At 39.7% G+C, this 24405-nt stretch overlaps 2 long non-coding RNA genes, 1 other non-coding gene and 1 pseudogene across 3 annotated transcripts in view, besides 3 other annotated features; 2 read left to right on the forward strand and 2 right to left on the reverse strand.

Annotated features, from left to right (window-relative positions):
• The window catches only part of LINC02226 (long intergenic non-protein coding RNA 2226), a 124082-nt gene extending 114730 nt beyond the window's left edge, over positions 1 to 9352 (reverse strand). Inside the window, exons 1-2 of the long non-coding RNA NR_039984.1 lie at positions 9237 to 9352; positions 4011 to 4068 (exon numbers count right to left, since the gene is read on the reverse strand). This is a non-coding gene — a long non-coding RNA (long intergenic non-protein coding RNA 2226). The remainder of the gene's footprint in view (positions 1 to 4010; positions 4069 to 9236) is intronic.
• Positions 7734 to 8346, reverse strand: LOC100419318 (FAST kinase domains 3 pseudogene; annotated as a pseudogene).
• Positions 9065 to 9164: an enhancer, noted in NCBI's record as "active region_22347". NCBI's record gives its function as "activates an Ori minimal core promoter by ATAC-STARR-seq in GM12878 lymphoblastoid cells {active_cell/tissue: GM12878}" and the evidence as "EXISTENCE:reporter gene assay evidence [ECO:0000049][PMID:35858748]".
• Positions 9353 to 9474: 122 nt separating the features above from the next.
• Positions 9475 to 14884, forward strand: MIR4458HG (MIR4458 host gene). Its single transcript, NR_039989.1, has 2 exons — positions 9475 to 9554; positions 11721 to 14884. It is a non-coding gene; the product is annotated as an MIR4458 host gene (long non-coding RNA).
• Positions 9685 to 9734: a silencer, noted in NCBI's record as "silent region_15907". NCBI's record gives its function as "represses an Ori minimal core promoter by ATAC-STARR-seq in GM12878 lymphoblastoid cells {active_cell/tissue: GM12878}" and the evidence as "EXISTENCE:reporter gene assay evidence [ECO:0000049][PMID:35858748]".
• Positions 9745 to 9804: a silencer, noted in NCBI's record as "silent region_15908". NCBI's record gives its function as "represses an Ori minimal core promoter by ATAC-STARR-seq in GM12878 lymphoblastoid cells {active_cell/tissue: GM12878}" and the evidence as "EXISTENCE:reporter gene assay evidence [ECO:0000049][PMID:35858748]".
• Positions 12713 to 12787, forward strand: MIR4458 (microRNA 4458). The gene has a single exon (NR_039663.1). It is a non-coding gene; the product is annotated as a microRNA 4458 (primary transcript).
• Positions 14885 to 24405: the final 9521 nt, after the last annotated feature.

Raw genomic sequence — 24405 nt, forward strand, 5'->3', positions numbered from 1 at the left:
ACCTGAGTCATTTATCTTAATGCCTTCAACTGGTGGGATGAGGCCTACTCACATTATGGTTGGTAACTGCTATACTCAAGGTCTACTGATTGAAATGTTAATATCATCTAAAAAAAAAAACAGTCTTCGTAGCGACAATTTGACCAGTGTTTGACCCAAAACTGGCAAAACTGGGTACTATGTCCTACCTATGCTGACATATAACACAACACATCACAATCCTGTGTCATTAAATCCTGTTAGGCCTCAAGGTGAAGGCCTGCTCTGTGGTTCATACAGACAGAAGTGAAAGCATTTCACACGTTAATAACTGATCACTTCACACAGACACACACACAAATCCGTATCTAGTTTTAATATTCTTCCTGAAAAACACGAAAAAAAACTAATCAGAAAAAAAGAAAAAGAAAGTTGTTCAAATAATTAAAACACTATTTGACCACTTACATTATGGTTTGGGAAAAAGTAACTTAATTAAACTGTTGCAATGTCTCCTGTGAATTTAATCAATGCAAAATATGGAATCAATGTTCAATTAAAATCTTAATGTGTGTCTCCTATTTTGATGAGTGTAGGTAAATTTTTACCAGCCTAAATTATCTTCATAAAATGCATGCACAATTGCTGGGCTAGAGATTGTTTTTCAAACCGCGCCAGAAAAAGTCAGATCTAGCCTCAGCTCAAGTATCTACTCTGCGTGCAATGCATTGCATATTCCAGTTACGGTAAACTATTCATCATTTGTCAATGTCCTATCTGGAATACTGCCGGAAATGCTCTTCCATCACTCCCATCACCTATTTTCCTTCTAAAATTCAGCCCACAAATCACTCCAGGTGTCATTTTCTGATTTTCTTTAAGTCCTAAATTCTTGTATAATACCATCGAGTTTTGCATGAATTTCAGTGTGAGTGTGCATATCATATTAAACTGTGATCAACCATGCACCTATCTTTTGCTGGATTGTGCTGCATCAACTTGGCTAAAGTTATAAACTATATTTCCCAGTTCCTTGAGAAACTCAAATACTTTTATTTTTTATTTTTTTAGAGATGGGTTCTCACTCTTTTGCACAGGCTGGAAGGCAGTATATATTTGTAGCTCACTGCAGCCTCAAACTCCTGGGTTCAAGCAATCCTCCTGACTCAGCCTCTCAAGCTGGGACCAGAGGCACACGCCATTGCAGTTGGCTAAAAATCAAGTTTACAGTTCACAGAAAGACTCTGAGAAAGATTTGGAAAATGGAGGCTTTTTTTTTTTTTTTTTTGAGACGGAGTCTCGCTTTGTCACCCAGGCTGGAGTGCAGTGGTGCGATCTCAGCTCACTGCAAGCTCCGCCTCCCGGGTTCAGGCCATTCTCCTGCCTCAGCCTCCTGAGTAGCTTGGACTACAGGCGCCCACCACCACGCCTGGCTATTTTTTTGTATTTTTAGTAGAGACGGGATTTCACCCTGTTAGCCAGGATGGTCTCGATCTCCTGACCTCGTGATCCACCCGCCTCAGCCTCCCAAAGTGCTGGGATTACAGGCGTTAGCCACTGTGCCTGGCCAATGGAAGCCTTTTAAATTGTTTATTTGTATAATCAAACAGAGAGGTTTTACGTCTAGTAAACAAATTGATGTATCACTTGAATCACTGCAATAGAGTTTATAGCCCTATTCACAGGCCCAAGAGCCTTTTGAATGAAATGGAAGCCTGATCTCTTTAGGGAAGGAACAATACTACACTGTCAGAAATTAAGAATTTAAATCTTCCTCTTATTCATTTCCAAAGTACCTGAAACTCTTTACCAGGTCAGTGTGCTTTGTGGAAGAGAAATAAATGCTCTTCATAGGCTCTAAAGAGATACTTATTCTTAGGAACCCAAAGTGTTGTTATGGTTCATTAGTCAAAGTAGGAGTTTACAGAATTGATTAATGTAGTTTTAGCACAGTTCTATCTCACATGGGGCCAGAAGGTCCCCAAATCTATTCTGTGGTATTTTTTCTCCAATTCCAAAATGCAAAGTTGGAATCCAAATACTCAGCCCTGGAAATATTTCTATACGGGTTTCTTGATTTGTTGACTGAGGACTATTACAGAAGAAATATGAAGTTGAACTGTCTCTACTACCAAAGTAATAAAAGCAATAACCACACTCATGGAAGAGATGTGGAGATTAGCGCCTCCATCAGGAACTTAAAGGACGCAGGGGCTGTGCAGGAGACTTGAATCTTGGAAAATGGCAATAGAATATAAACTTAATCATATGGCGACTCCAGTGGTAACTGCTGTTCAGTTGTGTGTGTGTGTTCATTTCATTGAAAAAAATGAACACAATCCATTACCAGGTATGTGGCTATAAATCTGGTGAATGCTTTTATGGCTATATTTTTTAATGAAGTGTACTGAAACAGTTTGCTTTCAGCTGGCAGAATCTGCAAAATTGTCTAACTTCCAGACTATATCAACTCTGCAGTCCTATGTAATAATATATCCATGAGAATCTTGGTGACCTCTGCATTCCACGGGACATGATGCTGGCCTTCTACAGTGCTGATCAGACCTAGTAAGCACAAAGTCGCAAATATCCCAGACACCCTGACCACAGACACACATGTATACCAAGGACAGGAATAAATACCTAAAACTGTAAGGCACTGCCACCTTCTTAGATGTCTTGGTGAGAGGTCCACTGTTCAGAGGGCACACTGAGATATAAGGCGAAGGCCTTTTTGGATCTGTAGTGTGCTACCTCTTTAATGGGAAATCTTAGAGGCTATCAGTATTGAATGGTGACCAGAGGAAAATACTGCTCTACATATAGGTCTGGGCTGTCATACAAACTGATCTGCTACTGGGGCCTCATGACCTAGCAGATCCAAAAGTATTCAACATGTTTGTGGCAGATGCAAATGCTGTTTAGAACCTTCGAGAGGTCGCTGTAGAAGCACAATGCAAAACTTCAGGATTTTGGAGCAAAACTTTGTCATCTTTTGCACACACAGTGTTCTCTTTTGATAGCTCCTGGTGTGCTACTGGACCTTAGTAGAGATAGAATGTCTGACTCTGAGCCACTAAGTAACCATTCAACCTCTTCTGCCCTTCAAGAACTGGGAAATGTCTGAAAAAACAAGTAATGAAACGTGTGTATAGCAGCACTCCATTACAAGTTGTAGTTTTATATACGAGATTGGTCTCAAGCAAGACCTAAAGGTAAAAGTAAGAGGCTCAGATTTGCATGGCTCCTCCTCTTGCTGCATTAACTGCTGTCTCTCAACGCAAGCATACTGTAACATATTGATGGAGGAGGAAAATGCTGAGTCTCGTTTACTGATAATTCTATGTAACATGCTGGCATCACCTAAAGTGGAGAACTGCGAGATTACTGCCCCATCCAAGAAAACCCTTCAGCAGCCCCATTCTTCAGGAACCGTGAAGGACTATGGCAAAGGTAAACACTTTCTGTGGGTAGAACTCCAAAAAATGCCCCCAAGTGTTCCTTTTCCTGGAAGGAAATTATCAGGGGTATATATCTATGTACATAAGCTAATAGATTGTGCAGATAATCCAAAATGTCAAAGGACCAGACTGGAAAATGGGTAACAAAGAGGTGTGGGGAAGAGCTGTGTATACTGTGACAATAGTCACGGTATAAAAGTATTTTTGTCCCACCGTAAATGGTATGAAAGAAATGCTGGGGTATAGAATGGGATATGTAGAAGGGATTAAGTCAGTAATTATTAAGATTTAGAAGGGGAGTCACCTATGCTTTTAAAAACAATGTAATGTAGAGCTTGCCTCCAGAAAAATACATGTATATGGTACATACTTTACACTTTCTGAAGGTTCATGAACCTTCCAATCAAAACGATGTCTACAAACCTCTTAGATTAAAGGTCCAAAACATCATTTTCAATAGCACAGATCTGATAAGAATTGGAAATCAACTAACTACCTGATTTTAAAGTGAGCAAAAAATGCTTTAAAGCTAGCCTCCAAGTAGACAGACTAATTAACTGAGTACTTTACCATATTAGAATCTATCCAGTCTCTTTCCCAGTCTGTTCCTCTTTGCCTTCTCCGCTCTCTAAAACAAAAGAACCAGAACATTTTATGAATAATCTTAGAGATCAACTCACCTAACCCCCCTCTCCCTGAGTTTTACTGATGAATAAACAGACCCCAAAGATAAAGTGAGGCACCAGCATAGTGTGACAAAATCAGACATAATCGTTATCATAGTTACAGTATACTTTCTTTGTGCTACTATGTTTATGTTTTACATGTATTCAATAACATGTGCTACCATGTTTGTGTTTTACATGTATTGAGTAACTTAATTCTCACACAATTCTACTAGTATCATCTCCAAGGAAACTGTGACTTGGGAATTAACTTGTCCCAAGTCACATGGTTGGCATGTAATGAAAGTACCTGGTACGTGGCCTGACATGAATGGGCATTAAGTGAGAAAATAATACCATTTCTTTCCTTCTTCTTGTTCCTTCTTGACAGAACTATCTGATGATGAAACGACCCAGACTCAATTTTCCCAACTTCAGAGCCTTTTCTATCCATGATCCCTCATTCCTGCCTTTCTTGCCATTCCTGTCCTGTCTCTCAACCTGACAATGAAGCATTTATATCGGATCAAATGAAACTCGCATACTTTCTGTGACTTAAAATCAGAAGTTTCCCTTGTCAATTTCCCTTGCCACCTCTAAGAAAAGCTTATCTATGTTAAGTTCCTTTTTACTGATTTGTATTTTTATGTTCCCCCAAAATTTCACATTGATATATAAGAATTTTCTGTTGCTAGTTTAAATAATTTTCTGCATGATTCAATGATTATAAATATTTATCTCCAAAATAATATGATCTATTTTTCTTTATTTATCCTCAGTATATATTTCCTTTAACTGAGATCCAGTCATCTGAAGTATCTAGGTAGACTTGATTTGATATAAAATTATAAACTAACCCTCTTAAGAAAATGTCCAAAGTGACATTTAGACATTTGCTCTTTCATGAAAGATTCTAACATATATTATTGTGGTTATTATTATCAATATTATCTCCAAAATTATATTGCAACTCTTTAGTTAGGTAAGTAAAGATCCTGCTCTTCTGGAAACTGCCTGCTTCCCTTTCCATAAAATAGTTAAGTTTCTTTAACTATTTTCTTCTAATTCAAACGCTTTACCACATGACTTTTTTTAGACCATTATGGAAAAGAAAGTCAAAACATTGCTGGGTATAAGGATTCCTGGACTCTGAAACATCAAAATTTCAAACACTAATTATTCTAGTCTAAGTTATAACCAGCTCATCTTGAAACTAATGAAGAAAATAAGAGCTAAATGTGTTTAGCATAAGTCAGATGATTATATCTGATCAGTGAACATGAATTAAGAGTTTAACAATATTATGCATGAAAAGAATAAAAGTGAGGGAATCACGTATTTTCTAGTTTTCCAAACAAAATGCAGGTTTTCATGGCAAGTAATTGACTTTCCCAGGTGATTTTATTAATTGAAAACCTGAGGTACTAAAAGTTTATTCAGTCATACTTGTTTTATTGTACATTTTGTTTTATTGAGTTTCACAGATACTGTATTTTATATACATATATATATATATATAGAAGGGTTGTGGCAGCCTTGCATTGAGCAAGTCTATCAGCGCCATTTTTCCAACAGCATGTGTTCAGTTTGTGTATCTGTGTCACATTTTGGTAATCCTCACACTATTTCAAACTTTTTCTTGTTATTATATCTGTTATGATGATATGTGGCGAGTGATCTTTGATGTTACTATTATAATTGCTTGGGGGCACCAAGAGCCACACCCATAGAAGACTTTAAACTGAACTGGTAAATATGTGTGTTCTGACTGCACCAGCAACCAGCTGTTCCCCATCTCTCTCCCTCCCATTAAGTCTCCCTGTTCCCTGAGACACAATGTTAAAACTAGGCCAATTAATAACCCTACAGTGGCCTCTAGGTGTTCAAGTGAAAGGGAGACTTGCAAGTCTCTCACTTTAAATCAAAAGCTTGAAATGATTAAGCTTCGCAAGGAAGGCATGTCAAAAGCTGGATAGGTTGAAAGCTAGGCCTTTTGTGCCAAATGGGTAGCGAAGTTGTGAATGCAAAGGAAACGTTCTTGAAAAAAAATTAAAAGTGCTACCTCAGGGAATATAGGGATAATAAGAAAGTGAAACAGTCTTTCTGCTCATCTGCGGAAAGTTTTAGTGGTCTGGAGAGATTCAAACCAGACATATCATTTCCTTAAGCCAATGTCTAATCCAGGACAAAGCCCTAATTTTCTTCTTTTCTATGATGACTGAGAGACATAAGGAAGCTGCAGAAAAGTTTAAAGCTGGCAGACATTGGCTGATGAGGTTTAAGGAAAGAAGCTGTCTCCATACATAAAAGTGCAATGTGAAGCACCAAGTGCTAGTGTAGACACTGCCACGAGTTATCCAGAAGATCCAGCTAAGATCATTGATAAAGGTGGCTACACTAAACAACAGCTTCTCAGTGTAGGCAAAATAGCCTTATGTGGAATGAGATGCTGTCTAGGACTTCATCTGACATGCTTTATTGTGATATTCACTTTATTGAGGTGGTCTGGAACTGAACCCCCAATATCTCTGACATATGCCTGTAATTTGCAAGGGGGAAAACAACTTTTTGCTATTACATTCAAAATGGATTTTGAAAGAGTCAGTTTTCTTTTTTCTTTCTTTTTTTTTTTTTTTTTTTTTTTGAGACGGAGTCTTGCTCTATCGCTCAGGCTGGAATATAATGGCACAATCTCTGCTCACTGCAACCTTCGCCTCCCGGGTCCAAGCAATTCTGCTGCCTCAGCCTCCCAAGTAGCTGGGACTACAGGCACATGCCACCATGCCCGGCTAATTTTTGTATTTTTAGTAGAGATGGGTTTCACCACATTGGCCAGGCTAGTCTTGAACTCCTGATGTCGTGATCTGCCCACCTCGGCCTGCCAAAGTGCTGGGATTACAGGCGTGAGACACCACCCCTGGCCCAGGAGTCAGTTTTCTATATCACTTGACTTTCTTTGCTCAGAAAGTCCAGCAACATGTTGCTCTAGGTCTTTGTTTAAAAAAATGTTATTGTGCCCAAAGTATTTAAAAATTTCTAAGACTTAGTATCTATTTCCTTATTAGAACTAAGAAAAAGAGAGCTCACAGGTAGTGTCTGATCAAAAACCACAAGCTTGCTGCACACTTGGCCTATTTAGGATTCAAGTTAGAAACTGTCAACTGAGAGATGTTAATTATCTTCTTTTTAAAAGTTGCTTGTAGATCCACTGTTTTAGCCCAGAATATTTCATAAAATGACACTGATACGTTTTGAATATATGTCCCCACCAAATCTCATGCTGAATTTTAATCCCCAGTGTTGGAGGCGGGGGCTGGTGGGAGGTGTTTGGGTCGTGGAGGCAGATCCCTCAGGCTTGGTGCTGACTTCCTGATACTAAGTTCCTGCAAGATCTGGTTGCTGTAAATTGTGGCACCTCCCCACCACTTTTCTCTCTTCCTCCTGCTGGCCTTCCACCATGAATAAAAGCTCCCTGAGGCTTCCCCTGGAAGTCTAACAGATGCCAGCAGCATGCTTGTACAGCCTGCAGAACTGTGAGCCAATTAAACCTCTTTTCTTTATAAACTACCCAGTCTCAGGTATTTCTTTATAGCAATACAAGAATGGACTAATACAGACACATCATTTTTTTGTGTGTGGTAAATTCTTCCAATTTCTCACCTTGCATTCCCAGTGCTGCCCTAACTGGACCTGGGGAGTTTCATCATACTTTCTTCAATACAAAGATTGTGAATACCTATGAACTCTTTTAAGACAATTTGTATTCTGCCATCAGGCTTCCTAAGCTACCTTGTGGATCCACATGCAACAGAATCAGAACTTTCAAAGCAGTCACCAAACATGTAACTGACAACTTAAAAAAAAAAAATTCAAAATGAAATTAACAAGCACCAAGGGTGTTATTATTCTCTTATATTTCTTTTAGCAGCATTCCATCACTATCTGCTTCTTCCACTTCAGAAACCTGCAAAACTGCTGTAGAATATCAAGCAGTTGTTCTAGTGAAGTCAATTATTTTTTAGCTCACTGCAAAACATCTGTTGACCCACGTTTTAGTCTTCTGTTCACTCTCTTCCAAGTATGTACTTGGGAAAACAACAGGACATCAACCAGGCAAGCTCATTACCATTTTCCACAGATAAATCTTTACAGTCGGTGTGAAAAATCTCACCCTGAACTATGGTGGCTGTAGTGAAAAGAACCATGGACAGACACAAGTATGACTTGTGAACATGATTCATAAAGCACCCAGAGCCCCAGTGTGGCAACACCAGATGAATGAAAAAGGTTCTACCATGTTATCAAAATCATGTCATTCTCACTTTCCCTCAACAGTACCTAAATTTTAAAAAGAATATAAGCATAATGATGAAATACTACAAAAGTATCAATTGAGATCACACTGCACTCAATGAAAATTATCCATGTTTATGAAAATAAAGATCTGTATCCAAAAAAATAGCAAAGTGTCCACAATAAATTATAAACACCAGGACATCAGGGACATTGATCTCTATATCCCAAAGCCTAGAAAAGTGCCCAGCACCTAATAACAATACTAACTTTTGAACATTTCACCACGTGCCAGGCACAGTTCTGATATGCTCCATGTTTCAACTTAAGGCTTACAGGCCAGGCTTACAGGCCACCAGTGAATCTATAAAGTTTCAGTTTATATATGAGAACTGAAGCACGGGATTAGATAATATTCCGAGACAACACAAATTAGTAGCAGATGGGTTAAACTCAGGCCGCGCATGTCTAGAATATGCACACTTACATGCTTGTTGAAAAAACTGTGTTGATTAGTATCAAACTAGCTTTAGAAAATAGAAGTTAAAAAAGGCAATAGACTTTGGCAAATTATTTGAGTAAAACGTCAAATGTCAGATATGTCGAGGCATGGGTAGCCTTCTAAGGGGTCACGTCTATGGAAGGAAAAAGTTTGGCTTAACAAATAGGAAAGTGAGAAAAAGAATGAAACAGTAAAATAACAGGATCTCGTGATGGGGAAAAGGCGGCCTGCCCAGACCTAAACGCCTCGCGGCCTCGCAGGCGACGCGGGGATGACTCAGCAGGACAGAAGGGAGGGAAGCTCCAGACGCCACGGCCCTCTTCGAGATGAAAGTACCTCCCATCCTAAGGGACTGGCGTTCCAGGAACAGCTGCGCTGGCTGAGCCGGCTCAGTGAGGCGGAGCGGCCAAGCCTTCAGTCCACTCCCACTCCCCGATGAAAAACCCAAGACCGGGTAGCGCAGCCCCTCCGCGCACGCGTAACACGAGGAGACACCGCCCACACGCCAGACGCGCTGTGATTGGCCCCAGCTACCCTCGGACCGAGATTCCTATTGGTCCCAGGTGTCGAGCATGCGCACTTTGGTCGTGGGCGCGTGTGTGGAATGGGAGGAGGTCGCGCTGTCCATGGGCGTCCTTGGCCTGCGCCACCCAGGTGAGCGCTCCGGAGGCTGCGATCCCCGGGTCCCGACCGCCCGCCTAGCACTGGCCTGATGGGGAAGCGTCCCGGGACTGGAAGGGCAGCCGGCTTGCGCGCGTGGTTCCCACGCCCCTCGGGCTCGGGGGATCGCTCCGGGTGCTGGCTGCGGGCTCGGCGGGGAGGACCCCGGGAGCGCGTCCCTGGGCCCCACGTCGGCCTCTGCGCGGGCAAGCCCCTGGGCTCTTTGGCTCTAGACGCTTTCCAGGCCTGGGGAAACCGCATGCGTGGACGTGGGAAACGGGGCGCGTGACGGGGAGGGGCGCGCCCCGGGGGCCTGTGGTCGTTCCGAGCTTCCACCTGGCCCGACGCAGGCATGTGCCCTGCCCGCCGCGTCGTCCCTGGGCCTGCGGGGGCTGGGGCCTCAGCTGAGAGTCCTGGGAAGGTGGTGCTGGATTGTGGCTCTGTCGCGGGGATGAGGGGTTGATCTGGGAAGCCCTCAGGATGTGTGTGTGGCTCCTGGAAGGTGACGCACATTGTTAGCTTCAGTAAGGTTTTCAACACCATGTTTCCGCAGAACTTGGTCATAATAACTATATCGCCTTCTAATAGTGCTTTTGGGGAGTTACTCATTTTAACAGCTACTACGTGTTGAATGTCCTCTTGTTTGCCAGGTGCAGTTCTCATCCCTAGGGGTGGAGAGTTGAAGAAGATATATTCAGTTATTTTCTTTTTTAATGCTTGAGCTAACAATGATTTTATCCTTTGCTTTCTTAAAGGTTTAATTTGCTCTTAGGTGGACAGAAAAGCATAAACTGAATTTTAACTACAAGTTGGTCACAGTTGAAAAGCCTCATGTGTGGTTTGAGTTTTAGCTTAGATCTCTCCTTACATGTCTTTCCTGACAGCTCCTCAGATTTAGACAGTGTGAGGATCAAAACTGTATGAAGGTGCTTTACTCTTGATAATCTGTGAACGTCAACTAGGAAAATTTTGAGTGTATTAGAAATGTTTTTCGAACTCTTTGAGAGTCTAGGCAATTTCACTTGGGTTCTGTGATTAATTTGCAAAGTATTAGGATGAAATCAAGAAACCTGCAGTTTTAATTGAATTGACTTTGGTTTTGTTTCTCAAAAAGTGGGACAACAAAAATACCTACTTAAGACTACTGTTTCAGGCACTGTCTAATTGCATTCATCAGATCTTATTATATTCATTCCATGAGGAATCGAAGACCTATTCAGTCAAGCAGCAGCCCAAGGTTACACGTCTAATAAAGGGCACATTCCCAGATCAAGCCCATGTAGGCTGACTCTAGATTCTGATTTTGAACTGCTCTGTTTCTGAATTGGAGTTTAACTCCTCTGTTACCCCTAGATTAATGGTGAGTATTTTCTCTCACCCAAGTTAATTCCATTAACTCTAATCAGAACCCTAATTTAGCATATTTCCAGTACAGTAGTTGCGGATCCATCCTACTCTAGAGTTTTTGTGCTATGTGTTAACTGTCTTTTATAAATGAAGGGACGGCTTCCTCTGTAACATACGGGAGCATTGTATAATCTTTGAACAGGCAAAAGCATTCCAGAGAAAAGATAGATGAATTTCATATATTTTTATTAAAACAATTTTATTAAAACATAGATAAATACTGGATTATTTAAGCAAGTTGCAGTCTATGTAGGTTAACCACTAAGCTATGCTTCCTCTCTTTGCATGCGTGTGTGTGTATACGTGTGTTTTTCCTAAAGATACATCAAGGCTTAGTACTTTCACAATGAGTTAAGTCCTGCGCTGTGCCTTGAAAGATGAAGGGAGGGAGTTAGAGGCAAAGATGAATTAACAGGTTAACAGGATCCGGGTCCAAGTCCTTAGATGCCTATTAAAGAGTTCAGGCTTCACTCTGCGGGAAGTAGGAAGATTTTTGAAAGACTAAGTACTGGAAGGACATGATCAGGTTTGCAACTTAGAACTATCACTGTGGCTGCAGACCTAAGAGTAGACGAGAAGGGTGGGTAGAAAGGTTAGGAAACTACATTTTCCGAAGAAAAACATGGAAAGAACTGAAAGGGTGATCCTGGAGTCAGAGCCAGGTAGAGAGTTTAGGGATTTAAGGAGGATTTGGTAAGAGATTTATTGTGAATCCTACATCCTAAAATTTTAATGTTTTTTTTTCTTTTCTAGAGATGATAAATAGCCAAAGACGTCAATGGCACCCATGGACATAGTAAGCATAGTAGGAGCTGAAAAACTAGAAGCAATGACAATGTCAACTATTTTGAGCAAAAAGAAGCAGTGTCTTCGGAACATTTGATCATAAAACCAGAAATTAAAGGATGAGAAAAACATTTTTCTGAAGCTTATACTTTCACATTTCCTAGAGAGCATATTTGTGTGGATGGGGGTGGGTAAACACTCAACAAAAGTTTCTTTAAAAAGAAGAAACCATCCTGGTTTGATGTAATCAATGGTTGCCCACTGCTCCCTTCCTGTGCCTGTGACCCTTCCCAAACTGCCCTGTTGCTTGCAGGCTCGCCTGAGCTGAAAGGCAGCCCTCACATCCCGTCGGCACCTCCCTGGGGCCTTCTTTACACCCTGGAGAACTTCACAGGGAATCTGTGTCTGTAACACAAAGGCTTCCTGGTCCAGATGTAGATACTAAGGCTGACTGGTTATTTAAGTCCTGCGGACTTACTCTGCCAAAATTATTTAATCATGTAAAAATAATTTATAATTCTTATAAAGTATCCCCTTCATAATATAATGAATGTTGGTGCTATTACATTTAAGTGCACATGTACAGTATACAAGATTATTAATAATAATGTTTTCAAATAGTTATTGTCAAAGCTATTTTTCTTATGTTTATGAAAGTGCTTATAAAATTCATGTTTTATGAGGCTGGAGATGTATATTTTGTAATTTCATTCTGATATTTGTTAATATTCGCTTCCAATGCTGGTTTTGTTTGATGAGACTGACATTGCCTAATTTCAAGCTTTTTGAATGTGTATTCTTTCAGGGCAAGTATGAAATAACTAGTAAAAAATATACAAATATGCTTAACAATAAGTAGACTTTCTCACATTGATTACTTACAACAGCTTTATGTGGGGTGAATCAGATGCCTGTATTACAGAAGCATCTAATGCAAAGCAAAATAAAAACACTTGCATGAGCGCACAGAGGTAGGTGTGGAAGAAAGTGAAACACTATTTTAGGTTTTAGTTACACTCTGCTGTGGTGTGCTGCCTAGTATTTGCAGGTTAATGCAAATACTAGGGGTTATGAATTGTTTCTAAGTTTATTATTAAAAATAGCCTTGCTTCATTTCTTCCTAAAATGGAGACAAATATGTATAGTGTCTGTGTTACCAGTATGTGTAAGAGTAATATCTTAATGCGTGTAAAATGTTTATAGGAACCTGTATTTCAAAGAGCTATTTTTGCAAGTGACACTATCCTTTTAAGAAACTTTTTTATTCAAACTTTTTCCTCCATTTATAACTATTCTATTATTTCTTAATGTTCAGAACCCTTTTCATTATCTATAAGGTTAAATTTTAGGTAAGTAATGAGAAAATAATAATATGTGGAGAAGAAATGAGTGAGGAGTCGAGATGTGTGTCAATCAAGAATGAGTTTGTCAGCCCTTGTATTATGATTTTACTCGGGAGGGGATAATTATTGAAGGATGTAATGTAAGGGCAGTGATACTATATGGTATGTAAGACTGTTAAAATCACTGAGGTAAGCTATTACTTGAACTAAGCATAGAAATAGAGACAGATTTTTAATGCATTTAATTATCAAAATATCTAAATTAAAGATTTGATGTGGTTGTTCACTGGAAACAAATGGCAGACAAACAGAATATTTCTTGGAATCATAAATGACATCATCCTGTCTCCAACTTTCTGTGTAGCTTCTTTCTTTAGTTGGTCTTTGCTTAGATTTCCCTGTGTCAGAGACGACTTCCCTGGATATCAGTGACAGTTATTGATTGCTCATGCTATGAACTCCTCCCATTTCTCAGCCCTCTTGCAGTAGGTGGGGCCATGGTACTAGTTGTGGCTTATTGCTTAAAGACTTTAAGGCTCCATGTGTGACTTTCCAGCTCTGGTCCACTGCTACTGCGGCTCTGGCAGGACTAGGGAGGTGCCCCGTGTCTCAGATGGTGCAGCCTCCATCCAGCTGTGTCCCTGAATGACTAGAGCACAGCCACTGGTGACCTGTGGTGGACGTAGAATGTGGGTAAGAGATAAACTTATGCTACACCGCTGGGGTTCAGGGGCTAATTTGTTACCACAGCATAGTCAACCTTTTCTAGCACCCCATTCTGTCTAAATTTAGTAGTCCTACCCCACTCCATGCCTCCCCAACCCTTCCCCTGGCTTTAGTTTCTTTGTAGCACTGGTCCCCGCATGACCTGTCGTTGCTTTACTTTCTCGCATCACTTCTCCCTGCCTCCAGCACATGCACTAAAATTTAAACTCCATGCCTGGACAAAATCAATGTTTGTTAAATAAAGTCTGCCAGTTCTGTTTGCGATTTTTCAGAAACAAGGAAAGAAATCCTATATAAAGTTGATCTGTGCTTTGGCAATATTCATTTAGGGTAATTGCCCTTTTTTCAAATGGCTGTGCATTTTTTATGATGATGAATATAAAGTATTTAGCAGAAATATTTTTTATTAAAATTGTTGAGCTTATGGAATCAATGTAGCAGCCTATGTGAAAGAAACACTGTGCTAGAGAGTTGTCTTTCTGCCACGTGTAATCATTACATTTAACTCAAGTTCTCCATGGGAGATCCATGCAGAGATATGAAAATAGGACGGACGTCTCTTCCTTCTTAAAAGTTGCTCCAGATTTTGGCTTCAAGTGCTTCCTGTTTTTTGCCCTCCCTTATCCCTGGGAGTTCCCTCTATTTACTTTCACAAGGACTCTTGGTATAAAAGATATTTGTATACCTGGGTGTGTGGGAAGGAATTGAAGGCAAAGGTAGCAGTCATTTCAAGCTGAACATGTTAAGTGGTAATCGAGCACTTGGTTTTTGTAGTACCTCCTGTGGCCATCTCCACAGTGTCATATTTGAAAGAAATCTTGTGTAAGCATTGGTCTAAGGGTCACTGACTGTGAATAATGAATGCGGTGACAGCATGGCCATCTTAGAGACAGGCAGGCCAGATATTGGTTACTTTGATTTTAGTTGACAAAGTTTATTTGCTTTTAAGTTTTAAAGCAATACAGCAGTGTGAACTTCAAGTTGTAAACTTTCATTTAGAAAGTTTAAAATTTAGTTGAAATATAAAATATTCTGAATCTGAATAAAAAGTTTTAAAACTTATTCTTCCTTTTCAGTTGTTTTAAACACAAATGAATCAAGAACATGATTATCACCAATCATTACATGTTTATATTTCTGTTGTATACTGAAGGGAGTGGTGAAATGAATGCTGGAGGAGGATTTTGGTTGAGAAATTGGGAGGAGGAGGAAGTAGCAACTAAGACTGAGACGAATGGCCAGTTAGGAAACTCAAGAATATGAAACACTAGAGAACAATAAAGTGTTTCAAGAAGAACTTATGGGCAACTGAGTCTATTACAGTTGATAGGTCAAGTAGGAGGAGAACTGAGAAGTATCCATAGGATTTGACAGCATTCAGGTCATGGGGAATGAGGAGCTATTTTTGTGGAGTGGTAGGCACAAAAACCTGACATGGTGGTTGTAAGAGGAATCAAGGAGAAGGAGAAGCCATGATTATTAGGGGTATTTGAGTTCAAGACATATTGAGGCTGGGCATGGTGGCTCACACCTGTAATCCCAGCATTTTGGGAGGCCAAGGAGGGCAGATCACTCGAGCCCAGGAGTTGAGTCTAACCTAAGCAACGTGGCGAAATCTGGTCTCTACAGAAAGTACAAAAATTAGCCAGGCGTGTAATGTAGTCCCAGCTACTTGGGAGGCTGAGGTGGGAGGATTGTTTGAGCCCAGGAGGTCGAGCAAGCATGCAGTGAGCCATGATCTTGCCACTGCACTCCAGCCTAGAAGATAAAGTGAGACCCTGTATTAAAAAAAAAAAAAGAGAAAAAGACATTGAAAAGTAAAGTTAAAAATCTGTTTGAAGTTAGAGAGCTAAATAAGAATAATGAAATAAAGCCAGTAGAAGGAAACAAATGAGAAAAAAGCAGGCAATGACAGAATAGAAAAATTTTAAAAAATAATAAACCTAAATCTGTTATTAAAATGACTAATAAAAACTGAGGAAAAAGAGCAGAAATAGACATCATGATGAAAAAGGGGGACATAACTATAGGTACAATAATTTTTAAAGAATCTGAAAGAACATGCACTGCTTTCTATGACCTCTTGGCCCTCAGCATCCATTTCTACATCATCATGATGGGGGGAAAAATCAGGTTCTAGAGTCACAAAATAGGAACCGTGGCTCCTCAGAGGGGCAGTAGAGCATAGTGGTTTAAAAGCATAGACTCTAGCGACAGACCACATGGGTTTGAAAACGCCCTGACACGTACTAATCGTGACTTGGCTAGTGCCTCAGTTTCTCATCTTTAAATGAGGATGATGGGAGTCCTTACCGCATTATTTGAATAAATAAGTCAGTTTGCGAAGAAGCACTTAGAATAGCTCCTAGCGTAAAGTGAACACTGTCTCGTGTGGGTATTATTGAGTACAAAAATTTGTATATATATATTTTTTGAGACAGAGTCTCGCTCTGTCACGCAGGCTGGAGTGCAGTGGCGTGGGCTCGGCTCACTGCAAGCTCTGCCTCCCGGGTTCACACCATTTTCCTGCCTCAGCCTCCCGAGTAGCTGGGACTACAGGCGCCCGCCACCACGCCCAGCTAATGTTTTTGTATTTTTAGTAGAGATGGGGTTTCACCGTGTTAGCCAGGATGGCCTCAATCTCCTGACCTCGTGATCCACCCACCTTGGCCTCCCAAAGTGCTGGGATTACAGGCATGAGCCACCACGCCCAGCCTGTTAAATAATTTTTAACTCTACTGACCATAATTTATTATACTCCCCTCTTTAAAATTCATCCAAGATAAATCAGGATCATTAGTGGCAACTTTATTTTTATTCTGAGGTATTAGTAAATCCTTCATTTTATAATTTTAAGCATTAAGTGAGCATTCGTAAACTTGAAAGGTTTAAGCTAGATCTACTCCTATCCAGAGCTAAATGAGTAGAAAACCAATACCCCAAGTTACCTGCTGACAGCCCAGTAACTCCCATGTGTCCAGGGCCAGGTGTTCCTAAGTGCCTTCTGTTCTGAGTCATCCAGATTAGTCTAGGAAGCCTGTAAGTTGTTCTGTTGGTGCAGTTTTGCTTAAAGTACCTACATATTAAAGTGGCTTATTACCTCAAAACCCTAAAAACCTAATTTAAGTATGTTTAAAATACTTCAGCTGACATGATAAACTTTCCCCATCTGCAGAAGGGCATTAACTCAATTGCTAATAAAAGTCTTCTTATATATGGTGTTTTTAAATGATTTTTCCAAATTTTCATCTCTGTTAAATGCTAACATTTTTCATTTTAAATATTACTGGCTGATACTTAAAGGAAATCCAAATACTGCCTTTGACAACCCTTAAATATTCATGGCTAGAGCTTATGAATCATGGTTTTCTTAAGTTAGGAAACATGTTGCTATTACAACAATTTTTCAGAGTGAGAGAATGCTAACATAGATTAGTTTATTTATGTCTAAACAACCTAACTTAGCATTTATTGTTTTCTGTTTGTGTGTGTGTAATCTATCATTGTTATAAGAGACATAGCCAAAGAGGTGAAGATCCAGCTCAGATGCTATGAGGGGGGTACAGCTACTCATGTGTGCTTGATCTGCAGAGTTTAGCAGAGCTCCTTATTAAGCGAGCTAAAAGTACTCAGGTGCTAAACGCTGTGCCAAATATTTATGTTGAAAGCAAACAAAAACAGCCCCTGACATCCAGAACTGATCTGACATTCACATTTAGACCTCAATACAAGCTAGTCTGATGTTCATGGCCAGACTCTTGTGTTCTGCCATTGGGCATGTACAGTCTCACAGAATATCAAAAAAGTGCAGTCTGGAATCATAACAAAATGAGACAATAACAAGGTCACTCTGCAACACAAAATTCTAAACATTCCTATCACCAAATGAGTGCCTGCTACTGTACCAGTTATAGCTCTATCTTCATGCTAGTCTGTCCTCCCTATGGATAATATTTATTGAGATACTCAGTTATAGATTCACCTAGAAATCTATAATTTCTGACACCCTCCAATCTAGAGCAAGCCCCCACTTCCTTAGATGCTCTGCCAATTCACCCAACCAAAGCCCAGTTTCTCTAAGAGGCTCTTTATAACACCATCTTATTGAGACATCCCTTGGTTCCCTATGCTGTGTCTTCTCACTAATTGCAAGGAGGAATAAACCCAACCTGTTTATAGGGCTGTTCCAGTGGGCTTTGGGTAAAGGGTGTTGATGATGTATATTGTCTATTGAGTCCTCAAGGCAATTCCATGACTTAGTTCTGTCAATTGAGAAAAATGATGAGACAAGTCTCAATCATTTTAGGAGATTTATTTGCCAACGTTAAGCACGTGCCCAGGAGACAGGTCTATGCCCTTCTGCGAAGATAATTTTGAGGGCTCCGAATTTAAAGAGGAAAGGGTAGGAAATTGAGAAGTACACAATTTTCATGTAAGAGGGGGCTAGAGAAAAATAGTTACTCATGCCTTTGGCTCAGTGAGTCTGCATTTTTTACATAAGATGACAGAAACAAATGGGGCAGAGGAAAAATGTAGGGAATTTGCATTTTACGTAAGATAAACAGACAAAATGGGGAAGGGGAATAATCAGATATGCATTTATGTCTGGTGGGCCAGGGTAACTGCCCCTGTAAAGATAAGCTGTCAATTACCATTCTCATGGTGAAATTTTAACAGGCCAGTAGGAATTTCCTTGTGGGCAAAATATGAGGAGGCATGTAGCTTTTCATCTTGTAGCCATCTTATTTAGGAACCAAAAGGGGGAGGTGGGTTTGTGTGACCCAGTTCCCAGCTTGACTTTTCCCTTTGGCTAAATGAGTTTAGGGTCCCCAAATTTAATTTCCTTTCACAGTTTTCATTATTCTCATTCTCTAGGTGAGGAAGCTGAAATTCAGAAAGCTTAAGTATCTTGCCCAAGTTCATGTGGATAATAAATGGCACAGCCAGGCTTCAGAATTAGGTCTGTTGTGCTCCCAATCCTATGCTCTTTAAAATGCAAGTTTTTAAATCACTATAATATTTTATACAGGCAGAACATGAAATTTAACATACATTTAAGTTATGATACATATTAAAATGAACACACATGAATTTGCTACCCAACTTAGCAACAGGCAGGAATTTAAATCTGCCGTTGTATTTTTCTTAAGGCTTTTAAAACTCCTATCCTATCTTTTTTATACCATTCCCCAGAGCAAATCAGTTACCTATGTATTATGGTTATCATTGCCTTCCCTTTTTTTCTTTCTTTTGTAAAATTTTGAAGGCAACTCAAATTTACAGAAAAAAAATGCAGGTATAAAGTAACTTTTTCTTTTTTTTTTCCTTCATCTCTTAAATAACTTTTTCTAGACCATTTTCAAGTAAGTTGCCAACCTGATGCCCTACCACCCCCAAATATTTAGTATTTTCTACTAACAAGAACATTCTTCTGCTTAAGGGCAATGCACAATCAAAATCATGAAATTAATGTTGATGCATAATTACCATACAATCCTTGATCTCCATTCATGTTTTAAAGATTGTTCTCATAATGCCCTTTATATAAAGTAGAAGAGATCAGTTTAGAATCATACATTAGTTGTCAACTAATCAATCAGCTAATCATCATAGAATCAATACTTAGTTGTCATGTCTCTTCCAGTGCCTGTGGTGTACATTTTTGATCACTTAATTAAGGTGGTGTCCTCCAGATTACTCTGCTATAAAGTTGTTTTATTTTCCTTTGTAACAAACAGGCATTCTGTGGAGAAGGTCTTTAAAACTATGCATGTAGTATGTTCCTCATGAAACTTTACATTAGTTGTTCATATCAATAGGACTTACGGTGGTTTATTTCATTCATTGGATTATAACCCACCACTATCATATATTTTGATGCTCAAATTCTTCCAGATTTAGCCCATGGGAGACTATTCATGTGAGCTCCTTTGTCTTTTTGATATTTTGCCATCATTCTTTCAGTCCTTCCTTCCTTGTTTTTTGACTCAAGAAGTACCAGACAGATCTTGTACTTGTACCCTACCCCTGCTAGGCATTTCTCCAAAGAGCCCTTGTTTCTTTTAATGAAGAATGATATTTTAAATCAAAATCTGGGATCTAAGTGTGCTTACAGTTATTGGAGTGTCCTTGCTCTCATCTCAATGCACAGAGCGAGGGAATGTAGAAAAACCCTCTTTTTGATGCTCAGGCTCTGATACACCAACCCCATCCATGCCCACATCCGTCTTAGGTTCTGACATTCCACACCAGCCGATCATGGTCAGGCTTCTGACTTTGCTCAATCTTTGACAGTCATCCTTCCTTTGCATGGACATCTTCCCACCCACCTCAAGCTTTGACCCAAGTACAGCTGCTCCTTCCCATGGACATGCTCCTCACACCTCGTGGGCCCTGTCCTCCTATAGCCAGCTTAGATGATTTTCAGGAACGGACTTCTTACACTGGGCTTACCTATGAGATCATGCTTCTCTCCACAAGAATCCTCCATGCTTGTGCATGTAATAGTTACCTAATTTGTTTTTACTGATGAATATTTTCCAAGGTGTAAGTATGTCCAAATTTAAGTGTCCATTTTTTGAAGATGCATATTCAGCTTGTTTCCAATGCACTCCTTTATGAACAACACTTCTTCATATACACATTTGTATACATGTCTTCAGTATTCATACACATTCCTGTAGTGAGCCTCTAAGGACAGAATTGCTGGGCCATAAGATATACTGATGTTTTGTTTATATTACAAGATAACGTTATGATTTTTAAAAGCACCTCTACTAACTTACTTCAACCAGCATATTGATACCTATCGTCACTAAGATCTTGACATTTTCAGATGTTTTGTTTTCCAAACTAATGGTGGTAAGGTATCTAATTGTGGGTTTAATTAGCATTCTTAGTTACTAAGTTACTTGGTTGTAAGTTTAAGCATTTTTTTCTACATTATGATAGGAAAATCATGTTTATCTTTTCAAAAATATCTTACCCATTATTGGTTCTTCATCCTTCAATGTACAACAAAAAAGTAGCTCATCAAGTTTTTCAAAAAACACTTTTGGGATTTTGATTGGTGTTTTATTGAACCAATGAATCTTTTTTCCTTTTTTTTTTTTTTTTTTTAGAAATGAAAGCTTTATCATTTTTCAGCTTTCCGTCCTTAAGCAAGTTATAGCTCCCCATTTATACAGATTTTTCTAAATATCTTTCAGTACAAATTTACATGTTTTTACATAGGCTGTATACATATTTGTTAATTTATTCCTAGATATAACATCTCTTACTGTTTTAAAATTATATCTTTTGGAAAGTTGCATGTTCTAAATTATATTTACTAATGTATATAAATGTGATTGGCTTTTATGTATTGCTATTGTATATTTATTAAATTTGAGACACTTGCTCATGAATTCTAATACTTTACCTGTAGATTACTTAGATTTGATCTATAGAAAACCATATTGTCTGAAAATATGAGTTGTATTTCTTGATTTCCAATCTTCATGTATACATTGTCTTTATTTTTTAAATTTTACAACATTGTGAAGTACCTCTAGTATAATGTTGACTGTAAGTGCTAACAGTAATTATGTAAATCTTATTTCTGATTTAAAGGATATTTATAATGTTATACTCATTGTATTATATCATTTTCACACTGCTATAAAGAACTGCCAGGGACTGGATAATATATAAAGGAAAGAGGTTTAATTGACTCACAGTTTCGCAGGGCTAGGGAGGCCTCAGGAAACTACACTCATGGTGGAAGGGAAGCAAACAGATCCTTCTTCACATGGTGGCAGGAAGGAGAAGTGCCAAGCAAATGGGGGAAAAATCTCTTATAAGACCATCAGATCTCATGAGAACTCACTATCACAAGAACAGCATGGGGGTAGCCACCCCCAGGATTTAATTACCTCCCACCAAGTCCCTTCCACAACATGTGGGGATTATGGGAACTACAATTCAAGATTAAATGTGGGTGGAGACATAGCTGAACCATACCATTCGACCCCTGACCCCTCCCCAATCTCATGGCCTCACATTTCAAAACAGAATCATGCATTTCCAACAGTCCCACCAAGGTCTTAAATCCTTCCAGCAGTAACCCAAGAGTCCAAGTCCAAAGTCTCATCTGAGACAAGGCAAGTCCCTTCTGCCTATGAGCCTGTAAAGTCGAAAGCAAGTTAGTTACGTCCTAGATACAGTGGGGGTACAGGCATTGGGTAAATACACCCATTTCAAATGAGAGAAATTGGCCAAAATAAAGAAGCTACAGGCCACATGCAAGTCAGAAATCCAATAGGGCAGTCATTAAACCTTAATGTTCCAAAATGATCTCCTGTGACTCCATATCTCACATCCACGTTGTGTTGATACAAAGGGGCTCACATATCCTTGGGCAATCCTGACTCTCTATCTTTGTATGGTACAGCCCCTCTCCCATGTGCTTTCACTGGTTGGCCTTGAGTGTCTGCGGCTTTTTCAGGTGCACGGTGCAAGCTGTCAGTGGATCTACCATCAGGGGGTCTGGAGGATGGTGGCTGTCTTCTCACAGCTCTACTAAGCAGTGCCCCAGTGGGGACTCTGTGGCTCCAACCACACATTTCTCTTTTGCACTGCCCTAGCAGAGGTTCTACATGAGGGCTCCACCACTGCAACAAACTTCTGCCTGGATATCCAAGCATTTTCATATATCATCTAAAATCTAGGCGGAGGTCCCCAAACCTCAGTCCTCGACTTCTGTGCACCTGCAGGCCCCAAACCACCTGAAAGCTGCCAAGGCTTGGGGCTTGCACTCTCTGAAGCAATGGCCTGAGTTGTACATTGGCTGCTTTTAACCATGGCTGGAGCTGAAGCAGGGCACCATGTCTCAGGGCTAGGCCTGGAAAGGGCCCTGGGCCCAGCCAATGAAACCAATTTTTCTTCCTAGGCTACCAGGCCTGTGATGGGAGTGGCTGCCATGAAGGTCTCTCTCTGACATGCCCTGGAGACATTTTACCCATTGTTTTGATGATTAACATTCGGCTCCTCATTACTTATACAAATTTCTGCAGTGGGCTTGAATTTCTTCTCAGAAAATGAGTGTTTCTTTTCTATTGCATTGTCAGGCTGGAATTTTCCAAACTTTTTTGTTCTGCTACCTTTTGAATGCTTTGCCACTTAGTAATTTCTTCTGCCAGATACCCTGAATCATCTCTCTCAAGTTCAAAATTCCACAGATCTCTGGGTCAGGAGCAAAATACTGCCAGTCTCTTTGCTAAAGCATAGCAAGAATCACCTATATGCTAGATCCCAAAAAGTTCCTCATCTCCATCTGAGACCACCTCAGCCTGGACTTTATTATTCATATTCCTATCAGCATTTTGTTCAAAGCCATTCAACAAGTGTCTAGGAAGTTCCAAACTTTCCCACATCTTTCTGTCTTCTGAGCACTCCAAGACTCTAGAAAGTTCCAAACTTTCCCACATTTTCCTGTCTTCTTCAGAGTCCTCCAAACTGTTTCAAACTCTGTTACCCAGTTCCAAAGTCACTTCCACATTTTTGGGTATCTGTATAGCAGCACCCCACTCTCTGAGGTGTCAATTTACTGTATTAATTTGTCCTCACACTCCTATAAAAAAAACTTCCAGAGACTGGGTAATTTACAAAGGAAAGTGATTTAGCTGACTCATAGTTCCACAGGGCTGGTGCAGTCTCAAGAACTTACAATTACCGTGGAAGGGGAAGTAAACATGTCCTTCTTCACATGGCAACAGGAACGAGAATGCTGAGCAAGGGAGGAAATGCCCCTTGTAAAACCATCAGATCTCATGAGAACTCACTCACTACTAGGAGAACAGCATGGGAATAACCGCCCCATGATTCAATTACCTCCCACCACGTCCCTCCCATGACATGTGAGGATTAGGAGAACTACAATTCAAGATGAGATTTAAGTGGGAAATTTCTCAGTTTTGTTATTGTAAGCTTTTAAAAAACACACTGTATTTTTAATGTTCATAATTTTGAGAATAAGATTTACCTGTATATTTTTTCTATAATTTTCTTGCCTAACATTAAGCATATTTATGCCTCATGAGGTGATTTGGGGAGTAAAACCACTTATTTAAATTTTTGGAAGCGTTTGTAAGATATTTTAATGATTTATACTTTGAAATTTTGGTAGAACTCAGTGTAAAACTCAGTGTAGAATTTTCTTTATGGAAATCAGGTAGACAGCACTTGTCTGGTATACAATGCTTCACACGTGCTATCACAACTTATTCCTAGAGGAATCAAATGTGTCATCCTATGTGACTCCACAGGGAGAGAACTCTAGGAAACTTGCTCCTGGTTTCCTCTGGACTTCACTTCATGTGCCTTTTCTCTCTGCTGAATTTGCTTTGTATCCTCTCACTATAATAAACTGTAGGCAGAAGTATGGCTATATGCTCAGTCCTGTGAGTATACTTAGCAAATCATCAAACCTGGGGGTGGTCTTGGTGATCAACAACACAGTGATATTTTCCCAGAAAATTTTTCATTTAATTTCTGTTTTCTAAATTATTGTCATAAGTGTGTTCATACTACTTGTGTTATATTTT

Source organism: Homo sapiens, chromosome 5 (assembly GCF_000001405.40).
Source record: "Homo sapiens chromosome 5, GRCh38.p14 Primary Assembly".
Taxonomy (NCBI): domain Eukaryota; kingdom Metazoa; phylum Chordata; class Mammalia; order Primates; family Hominidae; genus Homo; species Homo sapiens.